The following is a 12,986-nucleotide window of genomic DNA, read 5'->3' as shown; positions in this document are numbered from 1 at the left end:
TTGCAAGTAGGTAGCTTATAATCTCCCTTGGTCACTAGAATCAGAGCATCTCAGCTTTTTTTTTTTTTTTTTTTTTTTTTAATTTCTCTACAACTAATGATACCACTCTGTGTGTCTTCCAACGTGACTTGCTGTCCTACTTCTCCCCTCTATCCTAGACTCTTCTACCTTGCCTTCTTGAGTCCAACTATCCTTCCATGGTTGACAAAATACTGTTCATTTTCAACCCAACCTCTTCTTTCAAACCACCTCTGTGGTGTTTTTGTTTTTGTTTTCTTAATTGAAATGCAGTTCTCCACTATGAATTCTACTTTCTCAGCAGCTTTCTCAATTGAAGCTTCTCACACCCATATCATGCAGGTCAGGGTTAGGAGGAGATCCAACTTGGTCCTTTTTTCTCACTTTCTGCACTTTGCTCATATGGAATCTTGCTGCTGCACAGCTCATGCTAGCCTGTCACTCTTCCTTCTACTCCCAATCATCCTTGCCTTCTACTACCTTCATCATCTAACCATCTGAAAGATTTCCACCTTGGAGTGTGGGTAATGGAACCCCAAGGAGGCTTCTTTCTCTGTCTTTCTGCTGGGCTCTGAAGAGGCAGAGGAGGCAGGGGAGGCTCCAGGCTGTGGGGCCATGACAGCAGTGTGAGTCTCTCCTGCTTCCCCAGGTACTTCCAGTGCCCGCCAAGTTTGGTCTCTTTGCATCCATCCACAAGGTGATCCATACTGGCTTCCCATCCACCAGCCCAGCCAAGGCCAAGAAGACCAAACGTATGGCCATGGGTGTGTCAGCACTGACCCACAGTCCCAGCATTTCCTCCATCAGTTCCATCGGTTCCATGGCCTCCTTTGTAGGGGGGCGGCCAGAGCCTTTGTGTTAATACATTTTACTCTTAAGTGTCTATCTACCCTGTCTCTATCTTCTCACTCTTGTTATCAAGAAGTAAATGCCGCAGGAAATTGCTGGTCAACACCTGCAGAAAAGCTGGTCCTAACCTGTAAGTTGGAGCTAAACCCAAACACTGGAGATACCAGCAAATTCCAGTATACCTGGAGATATGTGATCAAGAAATAAATGTTTACTGTTGGTTTTATTATGCAGCATAGTTGCAGCAATAGCTGACAAGTACAATGAAAATCAAGTTGGATACCCTTTTTTACTTACCCATTAAGTTTAACTTAAAAAAAATACTCAAAGCTTTCTTGCCTAAATATTTCTTACTTTTCTTTCCCCTTCCATTGCTAATCACTGACACTTAGGCCAACATCATCTCTTATATGGACTATTAGTCTCTCTCTCCTTTTTTTTTTTTTTTGGTGGGGGGGGGGGGTCCCTTCAGGTTCCTACAACCAAAAGATTGATATTACTAGAATATAAAAGTGACCTCTTATTTAATCTGTTTAGATTATCTGAGCCTACAGGATAAAATGGTACTTTTTCATTTGGTGTGAGTCTGTATGGTCTAATCTCTGCCTACTTGGCTTAACTTGGTATCTTGTCACTTTCTCTTTGTACTGCTGCCACACTGAACTGCTTAAAATTTCTTAAATATACCATGATGTTTCATGTTCTCAGAACTTTCCAGAAGCCTGAAATGTGTTGGCTCATTGACCTTTTCTGTATCGCCAGTTTCTATTTTGCTTTCAGATCCTGCTATGGAAGCATATCCTTTCTGAAACGTGACAGCCATCCCCAATTCCAAATGGAATTAAGCAATATTTCCTCTGTGAGGTTTTTGCATTGAACTCTTTAGCATGAGGGTGTCAAACAAATACTGAATTAGGCATTTGTATTTTTTCTCCTCTACCATATTATAAACATTTTATAAGGCTGAGAACTTGTCTTATTTTACTTTGTATCTCTAGCACTTAACACAATATCTGTGTAGAGTGGGCATTTAATAAACATGAGTGGAACTAAAATAATTTATTTTGAAACTTGATTTGGAAACATATGTTGTCTCTTTATTTACTCATGAATTTTAGAGATGCATACACCTGCTCCATATTTGAGGAGTAAAGAATTTTATGGAAAAGACTGATATATTTGTTTCTAATTCAGTTTAATTCATTGAATTTTACAGACCACATTATTCAGTAATTTTTTTTGCAAATGTGGAAATACTAGAGTTGCTTCACAATCAACTTTGTATAGGAAGAACGCTAGACATATTGCTAACTTCTTTATGACAACTTCCTGAATCCCATGGAAATATAAACCAAGGCTGCAGCATGTGAGAAATGTATATATTTCTTGTGTCTAATGCTATATTTATCCAACAAAACAAATGACAAAAGCTTAGAAAGCATCCAATAAAGATGTTTGTCCAAATAGAGAACCATGCTGTCATATCTTAATGAGTCGATGAGGAAAGAAAAGAGTTCAAGTACACTAACCATTAACTTGAAAATTTTAGCTCCTCATCAATAATAACCATAAAAATTCATGAAAATTTGCAATCCAATTAGAAGATGCAAATATTTTTTAAATGGCCATAACTGGTGTTCCAAAGTGTAAATGCACATTCAAATTTTAATATTCTATAAAAGTATGGAATAATAAGACTCAACACAATTTATGAAATGTCATTTAATAACTCATTGCTCTTGAATTAAAGTGACTATCCAATCACCCTATGGTTTTAAAAGCTCTGTTCTTTTGCAAGGATCTAGAAATTTCTTAGGTCACATTTGAACACTCTGGATTTGAGGTTTATACACATTGCATTTAGAACAAAATGTAAGGCCTGCTGAAGTAGTAACTTGCATACTAAACTCTTGGCCTTTGTTATAAGGATACACAACACCTGCACGTGTGCCTTTGGTATAATTTATACACGTCACATGCACATCTTCTCTCTCATACAGCTCTTAACTTGGCCCACACACTCCTGTACATGTACACATGCACACATACATGTAAGGAAACAAAGGCAAGAACGATCAGATTAGATGTCCCTCTCATACTCAAGGAACTACAGTAGTTTGGTAGATAAATTAAAGCTATTGTGTTCCTAGTTCAGCTGGCTGAGGTTACACAACGCAAGTAAAGATGTATCAGATAGCTTGATATGTGTGTGTGTCATGTAGGGGCTGTGTCTTTCATAAGGCATGTGCTAGTGAAATATAAATTGCCCCAAAGCATAAGCTCCACCATACAATGCTGGGGTTCATATCCTTACCCCAAACTAGTTACCAGCTGAGAGGTCAAGTTTTTTATTTTTTTATTTTTTATTTTTTTGAGATGGAGTCTTGCTCTGTTGCCCAGGCTGGGGCACAGTGGTGTGATCTTGGCTCACTGCAACCTCCACCTTGTGGGTTCAAGCGATTCTCTTGCCTCAGGCTTCCAAGTAGCTGGGATTACAGGCATGGGCCACCATGCCCAGCTAATTTTTGTATTTTTAGTAGAGACGGGGTTTCACTATGTTGTCCAGGCTGGTCTCAAACTCCTGATCTCAAATGATCCACCTGCCTTGGCCTCCCAAAGTGCTGGGATTACAGGTGTGAGCCACCATGCCCAGCTGAGATCAAGTATTTAAATTACCTGAGCTTCAGTTTTTTCATCAAACTGTGTTAGGATACCAAACATACTTAGTGGCCTCACATAGAAATAGCTCCCTAGATTGTTAATGAGTACTTGCTCATTAATTGATAAAGTTGTCTCAGAAAAGGTCTGGACTTGCTGCCAACCATTACTTTCACACACTTGCCTGTTTTACAGCTATATGGACAGGTGTTTGAGAATATAAGAAATTAAAACAGGAATAGCCAAGCTTTTTAGTCCATTTTGCTAATTAATATGTCAGAGCTCATAAAGAAGAACTCATCGGCCTTCTTCAGTACTGCATCATCTTAAAGAGCTGGGTCAGCAAAGATCTCTGCAGACAGTCAATACATATTAAAACAGTTCCAAGCAGTAAATCAAAACAAAAAAAAAAGAAGACACTAAAAAAAGTAAAATTTATAAGCCCTTTCTGTCTGAACATAAAGGAGCATTAAACTATTGGTTGAAGTGTCATTTTAGTAGACAGAAAGAAAATAAGAAAGAATTCCTTCTTAAAGACACACTTTAAGACCCTGAGTATAAGCAAAATTAAAGCATAACAATAAAAAAAAAGCTGTGCTAAATTTGATGTCATTTTCTCTGGATCCTAATGTTCCCTCAGAATATTTAAATCATTTAAAAATGGTTTTACTGTTAAAAAATACATTTTTCTGTTTTTTTTTTTTCTCCAGGCATTGCTAGAATTTGAATTTTGTCAGAGTTCAATTAGTGAAACAAGGAAAGAGGTTAAAGACGTTTTTGGTTTTTCAAGGCTCTATGAAACTTGTGATTTTTCTTCAAGGAACCAAACAAAGGGTATTTTATTTCTAACTTCTCCGGGCAGGTCTCACCATACCATAGACTTAAATGTCTCTCATATTTGGAGGAGGATTCTACCAACTCAGAAACAGGAGAATCATCCTGCTATCTTCCTTGCCAAGGTAATGAGATACAATGCCCTTTTGGGGAAGCCCCTGAAATAGGGGTTAGAGAAATCTCAAGAATACTGGACTAATTCCAGAAGGGGTGAGGGGAACACTACATTTTTGGGTCAAAAATATTATAAAGATTTATTTTACCTGGGCCTTTGATTGGATCTGAGCTCCGAAGGATCAACCATTTAAAAATTAAGCCAAGAAAAGGGTACCAAAAATATTGTCACAAATTTGGGAGGTACCCAAGCCAGACCAACAGATGGAACTTGGCACGAAATAGCTCTTTACAGACTAAGTAGCTGACTCAAGAAATTTTAACTCAGATGAATTTATTAAAATGTTGAATGTCATCTTGAATAAGAGGCTGGATGATAGATTTAGGTCAGTATATACAATTTAATTTGTTTAACTTCCTGTTGGTCTTGGATAGTATAAAAGCTGCTCACATTTCTATAGTTAAAGAGAAAGAGCGAGAGACTCTTAGCATAAAAAAAAAATACAAAAAAAAAAAAAAATTAGCCGGGCACCACACACATGCCTGTAATCCCAGCTACTCAGGAGGCTGAGGCAGGAGAATTGCTTGAATCTGGGAGGCAGAGGTTGCAGTGAGCAGAGATCGTGCCACTACACTCCAGCCTGGGTGACACAGGGAGAATCTGTCTCAAAAAAAAAAAAAAAAAAAAACTCTTATTTTAACCTAAATATTCTGAAGAAAGAATTTGGAAAAGGGGACAATATCACAACAAAAAGAAGTTAACTGATTCCTTTTAAGAATGGTGAGACAGGCTGGGCGCGGTGGCTCACGCCTGTAATCCCAGCACTTTGGGAGGCCGAGGCGGGCGGATCACAAGGTCAGGAGATCGAAACCATCCTGGCTAACATGGTGAAACCTTGTCTCTACTGAAAATACAAAAAATTAGCCAGGCGCGGTAGTGGGCGCCTGTGGTCCCAGCTACTCGGGAGGCTGAGGCAGGAGAAATGGCGTGAACCCGGGAGGCGGAGCTTGCAGTGAGCCTAGATCGCGCCACTGCACTCCAGCCTGGCGGACAGAGCCACTCCGTCTCAAAAAAAAAAAAAAAAAAAAAAAAAGAATGGTGAGACAAGTAGAGATTTATAAGTTAAAATACAACCTGGTAACTTGCTTAGTGGTCACAGATGACCTGTAGCCGACTGAGACTACAGGTGAATTTAAATGAATTTAAAAAATGATTTTGTAACTGAAAGAGGTTGTTAGAATCAAGAGAACCCTTAACCCTCTGCTGCTGCTGCTGCCGCCACCACCACCACCACCACCACCACCACCACCACCAAATCCCAATGAGATATCCCTTCACGTAAATGCAACGCACAGAGGGGAGCTATGTTTTATGTGAGGGGTGAGTTCCTGAGGATCATTATAATTCAAGACTAATTTTCCAAAAGAAAGAAATGTAAAAAATTGGGGGAGTGGCCAGGCTCTGTGGTTCATACCTGTAATCCCAGCACTTTAGGAAGCTAAGGCAGGTGGATTGCTTGAGCCCAGAAGAGTTTGACGCTAACCTGGGCAACAAGGCAAAATCCCATTTCTACAAAAAAAATAAAAATAAAAATAAAAGTTAGCTGGGCATGGTGGCATGCACATGTAGTCCCAGCTATCCGGGAGGCTGAGGTGGAAGGATCACCTGAGCCAGGGAAGTTGAGGCTGCAGTGAGCTGTGATCATGGCATTGCACTCCAGCCTGGGTGACAGAGAGAGATTCTGTCTCAAAAACAAAAACAAAAAACAAAAAACAAAAAATGGGGAAGGGTATGTTCTTAGAGTACATAAATTTTGAACCTTATTTGAGTATGTTCCTCTAATGCTGCTCTGTGCTTTCTCAGAACCGTTTCTAGTGTTTTACAAGATGCTCTCATTTAATGTGACTCTACAGTATATGGTTTTTGGTGATTGTTTAGCCCTCTTCATTGCAGGCCACTTTTGCTCCAAAGTTATCAAGTGGCTGGTTATTTTTCAGCATTTCTACAGATGCCCAATGAAAAACGTGAAGTAGTAATAACGTTATAATAGCACTTAAAAATATAAAAATAGTGCATGTTGGAATAACAGTACTAATTAGTAACAGAAATATTCTTTAAAACATCAGAAGTATTTAAACAGTGTGGTTCATGTGACATAAAGACTGTTGGAACTATTTCTATCAGCTAAAGTGAAGTTGCTGTATGGAATTTGCAATGAACCTGTGTGACAGCTTTAAAATTCTGCCATTTTTGACTAAAACTTTTTTGGAAGATTATTATTTCAAATTTTGCACTTAGCATAATTCTTTATTAATATTTTATATCATACTATGTAAAGACAGATCATTGAAATTTACATAAAATGTTATGGCAATATACAAAGATGACAAAGTTCTCATCTAAAAAGAGTGACAAACTTTTAATTGCCACCTAATAGTAGTGTGCTTGGAAATTAAGGTTAGAATAAGATTTGATTTCCTGGAAAAAGCCAGAAAATTTATTATTTGCTCATTTTCAAAAACCAAATTGATAAAAATTCCAGAAAAGGACTTCAACTTTTTGCCTTGAAGCCTATCCCAGTACTAAGAAAAGGCTTTTCATCTTCAGGTATTATAACAATATGTATAAGAGAACTATAAGCAGTAGAATGTATTTAAGATGAAGATATTATAGATTATCCTTGGGGTTCCCTGGTCATGAGAACTTCCTTCTGAAGCTCCTAAAAATATGTCCAGTAGTAGAGAATTTAATGGAAGAGGATGTTGGGAGCAAGGAGCATGTGGCAATTTATCACTCCCATAGAAATCTCTTTCACAGTGATCTAACTTCTTAGGCTTTTTATTAGGAAAAGCAAGAAAAAAAAATCTAAGAGTTGTGAACCAGCCCTTCCCTGCTGTTATCACAAGAGAATCTGGAGAAAGAAGAAAGGAAAAAAATCATAATCTTGCCCTGGAACATGATGGAGGTAATGAGGCATCAAGGCCACTTACTGCTGAAAACATAATTGGCACACAAACACGGGAGACACTTGGTGATGGGAAAGACTTCTTTGTTTCACCAATGGAGGGATGTCAGAAAATCATAATCCTTCTGTTGTTTAGAGGGGCAATGCTATGAGCAAAATGGACATTTTCTCCTCCAAAACAATGTGCCCCTAGAGGAAAGGGATTACTCCACTATTTGCTAGCTTAGTAGCTTTAAATGTTTTCAACTAATGTGAATAAATGATGATGGAGGAAGGAAAAAGGAATAGAAGGCAGTCGACTTGGCAATGAAAAAACAGCTTGGATTTTAGGAGTGAAGGTAACTCACACATGATAAAGACCTAAGAGATCCTTAGAAATTTTTGTGGACTTCCTAGAGAATATCTAGGGAGCTCATTCATGTCTCTAAATAAAAATAATGCATACATCCCTGGAACAATCCATTTTGATGACAGGCAGAAAAAAAAAAAAGAAAAAAAATCCTATTCTTTTTTGAGGAGAAAAAAATGATCGTATCTTTCTTATTCTGGAATTCTCTGTCCCGCCACTTAAATATGAAAGTCATCATGGGAAAGAATCTTGAACTTTCTTGGGTTTTCTTGCAATTTTTTTAAGTGTTTAGCTAGAGTACAGATTTAAGATTTTTGGTTTTATATATCTTTTTGGAAATCTTTATTCTTTCCTCCCAAACATTCTGAGTCAGCATACATTATGCCACTATACACACAGCCAAGCAATAAGTCATCTTTGTGGAAGTCAGAGACATCTCATGTATTAATTAGAAAGCCTTTCAGTGACTAGTGGATAGAAACAGGTTCCAACTGCTACTAAAACACAGCCAGTGATTTCCAGGAAGAGGAATATAGTCAGTTACAAGGAATTTCTTACCCGATTTTTGTCCAGCCAATGAGTGAACCTTGCTTTCATCTGGCACTGAGGAGAAGAAATAAAAGAGACAAGGATCAGACCGGCTTGTAAATCAGACAATTTTTAAACAGTAAATTAATGCAGATTCATAATAAGTTAAATCTTTTACTGGCAGAGATTTGAGAAACATTTTTTTCTCCCAGCCTACCCTGGGATACCTCACTTTTATTGGTAGATATCTTGAAGACAGCTATGAATAAATATATGTTTATTAGATCTTTTATGAACATAACTTCATTTTCTCATAATTTTCAATACTTTCAGTTATTTTAACTGGGTTGTTTCTTCCACATTTACAAGAGGAGAAACCAAATTCATAGACCCAGGGATGTATACAATATAATAAAATTCTTTCAGCATAACAGCAATACGTGTGTGTGTCTGTGTGTATATTAAATACTTAAGAATTAGACTTCTGTTATCTAGTCAAAATAGAGTAAAAGGGAACAGATTTGTAATTCCCCTTGAAACAATTTTAAAAACTAGACAAAACAAGAAACAATGGCATTCAACAGATTAGACATTAGGCAACAAAATGCAGTGATCCCAAGAGATGGAAAACAAATGACGTGAACTTTACAATTGCCCCAGCTTATTCTCTGAAGAAAGCCTCCAGGCAGCCGTGCGGGAAAGCCAACACCCAAGCAGAACAGTGATGGCCCCAGCTTGAGGGCATGGTGCTGGGCATCCCAGGAAGCCAAAGCAGACAGAGGTTGCAGAGCAGAGAACCAGAGAGGAAAGAGCAATACTATCTTCAGAAAAATCTCCTCATATATGTAGTTGAATACTGATGATCATATGTGTGTAAGAAAATTAACCCAAGAGTTGGCAAAGAACCATTCCAAACTGGAAGAGGAACAGCATCCGAAGTTCACACAGGGCTGGGAATAGTGCCTATTTCCAACAGCCAGAGTAGAAAACTTCATAACTGAAGGGCATCCATTTGAATGTGAAGAAGGGTCTTGCCTCAACAGCGGGGAAAAACTAACTCTAGATTAATGGAGCTCTGATGAAACGGATTCGTTTTTAAAAGACACAATTACTGAAGCTCATATAGGAAGAATTAGATAACATGGGTCGCCCTATAGTAGTTTTTTGAAAAAAAAAATGTGTTTATAAGTAAAACTTTCCCACAAACAAAACTCTAGGCCCAGATGGCTTCACTGGTGAATTCTACCAAACATTTAAGAAATAAATAAGACCAATTCTACAGAAAATGTATTAGAAAGAGAGAGGATTTCCCAAGCCACTCTATGAGGCTAGTGTTACCCAGATACTAACTAATATCAGAAAAATACATGATATGAAAACTGCTAACCCACATCCTTCATGAACACAGATGCAAAGTTCTTAATCCTTAAGCATCTCTGCATAGATCATCACTTTAATATTCAACAAAAGCTGTTTATTACCATGTGCCACTGTCTATGTTAGTACACAAAACTGTGGTCTCAAGGGTTGAAGCAAGGCGAGGGGAAATTTGCTAACAAGAAGAATCTCTTCCATTTCGCCTAACACTAGATTGATCTCAGAGTAACATGTCCCTTTTTTTCTCTGCCCACAACATTCAGTCTTAATTGACCCAGTTACTATACATAATCTTCCCACTCCCACCTAGCCCTCCTTTTCTAAGCTATTTCTTTATTTTCTAGATAAAAGCACTACATATCTGTGATTATTCTGTTCCCAACTGCTTAAAAATATTGTTAGACTTTTTGTTTTATTTCTAGTTGGGAGGTAAGTATTTATAAGGCACCAGTTGTGAGCCAAATTCTGTTTTTCTCAGGCCTAAAAAGCACTTACATAGAATCAATCTACACTGTAAGTAGAAAAGCATTAGAAAACAATGATAATGATTAAAAATAACCATAGGAACTCATATTTTCTGAGTACTTGTAATACACAGGTTTTATGCTATGCACTTTGTATCTATTCATTCATTCGATTCTCACAACGACCTGGAAAGTATTATTATTACTATCCTTATATTACAGATAAAGAAACTGACATACACCTCATAAATGGAGAAGCCTGAACTTAAATATGGCACTCTTAACCACTCCATTACACTTGTGATAAGAGTCACAGAAGAGTCATTACCTGAGAAACCTGGAATATAAGACAACGCAACTAACTATATGCTGGAAAACTACTCTCTTTATTTGAATATATGCTATTAATAGTTATCTTTCTGTGGTGACCAAGCTTACTAAATGTTAGCTATAATTTTGTTTAACATGTTTTGAAATTGATGATTCTGATGGGTTCAAGCTAAAATATCCATTCTCATTCTACAGATGAGAAATAATCTTTCTGAATTGGAATCCTTGTTTGGAAACAACAGTTTTGTGCAAATCATTTTAACTTTCTGTGGCCTCAGTCTCATCATAAGAGGATATTGCTTACCCCACAGGTTTGTGGTGATGATTACATGTGCAAATATATGCAAGGTACTTAGAAGACAACAGAATAAGTACTTAATAAATATGAACTACTGTCATCATCATTAATGAGAAACAAAATAGAAAGAGAGACTAACATCATAGCTAGTAATCAGACAGATGTGGGTTGAATGCCAGCATTACCAGGCAAGTTACTAAGCTCCTTTTTTTTTTTTGAGACGGAGTTTCGCTCTTGTTGCCCAGGCTAAAGTGCAATGGCACGATCTCGTCTCACTGCAACCTCCACTTCCCGAGTTCAACCAATTCTTCTGCCTCAGCCTCCTGAGTAGCTGGGATTACAGGCATGTGCCACCATGCCCTGCTAATTTTGTATTTTTAGTAGAGACGGGGTTTCTCCATGTTGGTCAGGCTGGTCTCGAACTCCTGACCTCAGGTGATCCGCCTGCTTTGGCCTCCCAAAGCGCTGGGATTACAGGCGTGAACCACTGCGCCCGGCCACTAAGTTCTTTTTAGCTTTAGTTTCTCCATATGAGAAATGGGGGAAAAAACAGTACACAGAGAGTTGGAACTAAATGAAAAAAAATGTACAAAAGCACTTTGCACAGTTCCAGACACATAATTCTCAATAAATGAAAACATTTGATAAATGGAAGTTGTGAGAGTGGTAAAGGTGGTGTATTTGATGACGGTTGTGGGGTACGTGATTTAATTTGCTCAGGATTATAAAGAACTAAAGAGAGAAAATAATTGAGAACATACTATGCTTCAGCCGGGCACTAGGTACTTTTACATTGTTATTGTATGGATCATTCCACAACCACAAAAGATACGACCTAGCAATTTACCTGGCTCCTAAATCATCCTGCAGTGGAAGAAAGGCAATGAAAGTACACTAGACTGTACGGTTTTATTATGTATAGTCATTCAGAAGAAGGGATTCATACAAAGGTAAGGCTTTTGCTGCTTTGTTTTTATCTTTTTTAAAAAATCTAAGCTGATTTAAGTACTTGCAAATTCCCTGGCCATATTAGGCTTAACAAATTATCTTCTTAACTTTTTGGCTGAATAATATTTATTATTTCTTATACTTATCATTATTTTAATTGACAATTTGAAATTATATCAAACACTAATATAAACTATTTGAAAAACATTGTAGAAAATCCAAATGGGTGATAGGCATAAAAATTAGAGGCCTTTCTCTGAAATATTCACTGACACAGATGTCTATCTTTAGGACAGAAGATAAATGAATAAACATAATGGAAAAGAGAGGGAACTATAATGACTTAATTGATAGAATACATTTTATTTAAAAGGTTAAATTTGGAACAATCATCTTTTATACACATGCTTAGTGCTGGGAAGTAATTTAAATAACAGTAGCAAATGAGAAAATGAGGTAAAATTACACATGCCACCAAGTTTTTTTTTAAATGGCAAGTGTTATAATTAATACCAACTTCCTTTATAACTCACATTAACTTAGAGCTACTATTAAAATTATCTCTTGGGGCTTAAGCTTACGTCTAGTAGTTTCACTGCATAATATTTAGCACAGTGATTGGAATGGTAGTGATATGAAATGTGACAGGTGTGTCATTTTAAACAAAGGACTTATTTACAAGAGATTGAAAAATAAATGGGCCTGGTGTGGGAAAGGTCTTTGATTCCAAAACAGTAAAGTATTAATTAAAAGCATTGAGTAAGAGAGTGTTGATGGAGCAAGAGTCTAAGTTTCTTGTTCTCGTTCTGATGACAGAATTTTTTCTCCTTTTCTTTCTTCTTTCTTTTTTAAAAAAGTATTTGTATTTAAAGGTTATTTCATTCCCTTTCTTATCCTTCAGTTTTACCCAAGGACTGGTACTACTTGCTCTTGATTATCGTAAATGGATATTACAATAATTGAAGAGATACCAATGAAATGCTCAGGTTTCTGAAGCTGCAATTCATAAATATTTTTATAACTGTTATTTTATTATAACCATTATTACATACTTAGAGAGTACCATGGACTGCCTCCTCTTGATCTTTCTTCCGATTTATTTAGATAATAGGATTTCTAGACTAACCTCATGCTTCCTCATATTCAATTCAAGATTGATGTACATTATTTTACCTAATTATCATAAGGTGCTTAATAAAGAGGACACTCTTTGGCTTGGATGCTTGTTAATTTCCTGGTGTGTTCTCTGATTC

At 37.1% G+C, this 12,986-nt stretch overlaps 1 protein-coding gene across 17 annotated transcripts in view; it reads right to left on the bottom strand.

The window, feature by feature from the left end:
• PARD3B (par-3 family cell polarity regulator beta) overlaps positions 1–12,986 on the bottom strand; it is a 1,074,688-nt gene that overhangs the window by 365,994 nt on the left and 695,708 nt on the right. For all 17 annotated transcript variants that reach the window (XM_047443208.1, NM_001302769.2, NM_205863.4 and 14 more), the window contains one exon: positions 8,347–8,391. In XM_047443208.1, the coding sequence (XP_047299164.1) occupies positions 8,347–8,391 (45 nt within the window). The remainder of the gene's footprint in view (positions 1–8,346; positions 8,392–12,986) is intronic.

The sequence above is a fragment of the Homo sapiens genome, chromosome 2, assembly GCF_000001405.40.
Source record: "Homo sapiens chromosome 2, GRCh38.p14 Primary Assembly".
Classification (NCBI taxonomy): domain Eukaryota; kingdom Metazoa; phylum Chordata; class Mammalia; order Primates; family Hominidae; genus Homo; species Homo sapiens.
This window is presented reverse-complemented; position numbering and strand designations above follow the sequence as displayed.